The sequence below is a fragment of the Homo sapiens genome, chromosome 21 (assembly GCF_000001405.40).
Source record: "Homo sapiens chromosome 21, GRCh38.p14 Primary Assembly".
Taxonomy (NCBI): domain Eukaryota; kingdom Metazoa; phylum Chordata; class Mammalia; order Primates; family Hominidae; genus Homo; species Homo sapiens.
In genome coordinates, this window is record NC_000021.9 from 16884767 (window position 1) to 16889647 (window position 4881).

The following is a 4881-nucleotide window of genomic DNA, read 5'->3' on the forward strand; positions in this document are numbered from 1 at the left end:
GGGCCTGTCAGAGGGGAAAAGGGAGAGAGAGCATCAGGACAAATAGCTAATGCATGCAGGGCTTAATACCTAGGTGACGGATTGATAGGTGCAGCAAACTACCATGGCACATGTTTACCTGTGTAACAAACCTGCACATTCTGCACATGTATCCTGGAACTTAAAATAAAATAAAATAAAATCTTCTTTAAAATATTTAATATTTGATAAATGAATACAGAAGAATTATAAGTATCTCATTTGTGTAACATTTACTTTAATCAAAGTAAATCTTTCTTTTTTTTTAACGTTCTTTTCCATGGAATACTATGCAGCCATAAAAAATGATGAGTTCATGTCCTTTGTAGGGACATGGATGAAATTGGAAATCATCATTCTCAGTAAACTATCGCAAGAACAAAAAACCAAACACCGCATATTCTCACTCATAGGTGGGAATTGAACAATGAGAACACATGGACACAGGAAGGGGAACAAAGTAAATCTTTCAATGAATTAAGTTGCTTTCGAATTTTGGCTTAAAGAAATTATGCATCTTTTCTTTCACCTTATTGCCATGAAGAACATAATATATGTTAGTTTCTGATGAGTCAGAAACCACTCTAACGGTTAGTAGTTTTCAAACAACAATAATTTATTATTTCATATGATTCTTCTTCTGGGCTGTTTCAGCTGAAGCTGGATGGTCTAGGATGGCTTCAGGCAGTTGACTCAGTGTCACCTTGAGTGATGGAGGTGATTTGGCTATAATCATCCAGGAGGCTAGCCAGGGCTTGTTCACATGATGGCAATTGCAGAATTCCAAGTGCAGAAAATGAGGGCAAGCTCCAATATGCAAGTCTTTTAAAGCCTCTGCTTGTATCATATTTGTTCATGTCTCATTGACCAAAGTAATTCACATGACCAAGCCTAGAAAGAACAGGTAGATTCACGAAATAGACCAACCGTTGATGGAAGGAACTACAAAATCAGGTTGTAAAATGATATGTATAAAGAGATGGAACATTTGTAGCAATTTTTAAAATCTACTGCAGACTGTTTTCAGCCACAAATTATATTCTCCTAAATGAAAAATATGCTTACTTCCAGAATTTCAGTAGTCTCATTCAATTATGTCATCTGGTTCAAAGTCCAGGTTCTTATAATTTGTTTCTAATATAGGTATAAATATGACCCATTGGATGCAGCTGCTCTTCATCCAGAGACTTATAAACTAAAAATGTAAGTTACCAGTGGTCAACCAACCTAATATACAAGGGTGAGATGGGAGCAGAGTAATTGTAATAGATACTTCTGATCAGAAAAATGAGGAATGGGAGGCATAGAGCAGCCATTGGTCTAACAAATTCTGAAATCCATCCAGGTACATGTTAAAAGGATCCCCTGCTCTAAGTCTGTGTAAGCTCCTTGATTGAGTTCTATTTCGGCTCCTTGAGAGTGATTTGTCTGTCTGTTTTTCTCTGGATCTCTTGCCTCCACCTCTAGGATTTTCATCCTTCGAACTAGAAACGGCCATGATTCTCAGTCTGATTTCTGCCCCCAAAATGTTGGAAGCCTAGAAAACTTTCTTTTTGTAATTGATTTTAGTCCAAGCTGGCAGTGATTTGTTAGTATAATGGTCTTTAAAAACTCATGGATTGCCTATGGATCTGATTTACATCTATTGTATGTAATTTCTAAAATTCTCCACTTCCAAAATTCACATCTAAATCATTTCAAAACAGGCCTTCCTCCACTTTAGATGTGGTAGGCTGCTATGAAAAAAAAAATGCCCTTAGAATTATTAGGAGACAATTTATCTTGCTGAGGACTCTTCTGTCCACCTTAGAACTTTTAGAGGTTTTTTAAAAATGAATCTTATAACCAGCCACATCTTTGTCTGTCTTTATACTAGGCCATTTCCTACTTTGTGAATTTTAACCAACGTGGGAGACAATTTATTTTTTGACCCAGCAATTCCTGGCTTCTTTTTATTTCTTCTAAAATCTGCTTGTAAACAAAACTGTTCATTTTTAAACTTATTCTGTCTGTTTCCATATTATTATATGCAGCTAACAGGGGCCAGTTGACACACTCAGCATCTATCATCAAATCTTTTTAGAGGCACAAGTTCATTAGGTACATTTTCTATCTTCCAAGTTTCTGCAGATGAAAGCTTTGCCAAATATTCCACTATAGCACAACTTTGTCTGCCACTGTCTCAACCTTCACTAACAGTTTCTTCACTGTTTTTTCAGCCTCCATCCAAAGCCAATACTATGTATTTTAGTATTTTATTAGATGTTTTAGGTTTTGTTATAGCAACACCCCACACCGGGTACTAGTTTTTATATCAGTTAACTTCTGTTGTGTTAAACAACAATTTGCTTTAGACAGTAAATATTTATTTTTATGCTTCAGCGGTTCACCTGGCTGGTTCTTGGTTCTTCTCTGAGCCAGATTCATTGGTGCTGGGTTTTCAGATAGCCTCATTCATGTATCGGGCAGTAGGCTTGCTGTAAGTTGGATAGTGGCAATGACTTTGCCAACTGTTTCTTCATCCAGCAGGTTTATTTGGACTCATTCAGTGATTACAACGTTCTCAAGATCAGAGAGAGAAGTCTCATTTTGGTTTTTAGCCACTGCTTATGTCACTTTTGATATGTCCCTTTGCCCAAAGCAAGTCACATGGCCAAGCCCAGATTCAAGAAACAGTGAAAAGGTTTCCACCTTCTGACGAATGGAGCTGCAAAGTAACATTACAAAGGGAAGGATGCATAAAAAGGCAGAAGAATGTCCAGCCATTTTTGCAGTCTATCACAGCAAGCATATTTTATGTAAGACCTGAGTATAATTTTTTATTGCTAATCTAATCATTAGAGTTTGCTAAATTTCCTATGCTATGTTTATGGGAAAGATTATTATTGTTTCCATAAATTATGTAAGGCTATGAGAATATAAACGTATGTGTTTAACTGAATGGAATTATAAATATTAATACCCTTTAAAAGAACTTGTGAAGTGGAACCTATGTTGCAAATCCTGTGAACTTAATCACTAATACTCCGCCTACTCTATCTTAGTGAAATTATAAAAGGTTATCTCTCTGAGAAACAGTTTATATCCATTTTGATTGTGTTGTTCTGTAGGGGCAATTTAAATGCAATTTCCAAGATTATTAATTGACTTTAAGACTTTGGGCTAGTATTAAATTAAGTTAATGAACAAGTAATCCCTCTAATTAAAGTAAAAATTTCAGCAAGTTATGTGCATCATCTTATGCTGTTAAGTTAATATTTTCAAGCTAAAGTTGAAAGCTTTAATTTAGTATCTGATCATACATTTTTATAAGGTTATGTAAACATATCCAAATTACTAGACAAATAAAGCTTGGTATGATAAAGAGTAGAGGATTAATAATTTAAAATTGGTCTGGAAGTATTTAGCCATTTCGTAAAAAAGGCTAATGGATTATTCTGTGTAATCAGCCCAGATTGCAGAGTTTTCTTAACCCATCAGAATTCTCTCTCCTGCAATCCTGTTGTTTTCATCCTACTTATAAATTATTTGATAATAAACAATAAAATGTTTCACTTCTGAAATAAGTAGTTTTATGTTACCTTCTTCTATTATTTAATATACCATCACTCTAATAGAACTCAAGACTACAATAATTTACCCATGACTTATTCTCATATTTTGATATAGTGATCAGTGTCCTCTCACCAATCTTTTTGATATTGCGTTTCCCAAACTCAAGCATGAAATTTAAAATAATAAAACTGTTTAGATATATTTGACATCCTTACTCTTTTGTGCAATATTTGCTCATTTTCCTTCTAACGAGGAGTGACTAGAAATAATTAGATAGGTTTGGTATTTTCTATTGTTTATTAGATCACCACAATTGTGAAAGAGAGCCATTCTATTTGTCAAACCAACAGTATAGGAAGAGCTGTCAAATCAAAAAGAGAAGCTCAACTTCCATAGGTCAATTATGTACAAGTAAGATACTGTTAATAAGAACTTATTTCCAGTCATTCGGTTTCAGGATAGACTGAAGTGTTCTCACGTTCATGTGCAAAGCCTGGCATGATATTGCTAGAACAAATCGATTCTTTAAAATGTTGTCTTTAGGTTTTTAATACCCTTCTCAGCTGGCTGCACATGTAACACATATTCTACTGAATGGCTCGAAAGCTCTGGAGGTTTTTCAGTGTTCCTAGTGTTCACATTATGTTCTTATATACAGGGTAAACTTTAACTGGATCCTTTCTAAAAAATGATAGATTATGCCTCAACAGGAAATTTTAATCTCCTCTGTTCTTATATTTTTGGTGACTATTATAAAATTTACAGTGAGCATTCAGTCATGTCATATAAAACATGTTCCCCTCAACCACAACATTGCCCTTAAAGCTCATGCTATATAAGCTATAGGAAAGAAATTACATCTTTTGGAGGAAACTTCTAAGGAATGATAATCTCAGTAAGGACTATATCAGCTACTGTAGGCTCTTGGTAGTTAAAGGAGTAGATTAATGCTTACAAGAGTCCCGGTGTAAGCTGCCATTACCACCTGCCAGACTATGCCAGAGGACTAAATCAGAATTTCCAAAACACCATGGTCCAGGAGTGGATGGCTTCCTGCATGCTTATTGATGCCTTTGGTTCTGAAGGGATAAAAATTAATTATGCGAGACTAAATGAAACTGATAACAAGATTTCAGTTGTTTTTTGTTTTTGGTTTTGAGACGGGGTCTCAGTCTATCACCCAAGCTGGAGTACAGTGACATAATCGTAGCTCACTGCAGCTTCAACTTCCCAGACTCAAGGGATCCTCCCAGTTTAGCCTCCCAAGTAGCTGGGACCACAGATGGATACCACAATGCCCAGCTAATT

At 35.5% G+C, this 4881-nt stretch overlaps 1 long non-coding RNA gene across 1 annotated transcript; it reads right to left on the reverse strand.

Moving 5' to 3' along the window:
• Positions 1-613: 613 nt before the first annotated feature.
• Positions 614-4654, reverse strand: LOC124904998 (uncharacterized). The gene is made up of 2 exons (XR_007067820.1): positions 4529-4654; positions 614-2725 (listed from the first exon to the last, which is right to left on the reverse strand). It is a non-coding gene; the product is annotated as an uncharacterized LOC124904998 (long non-coding RNA).
• Positions 4655-4881: the final 227 nt, after the last annotated feature.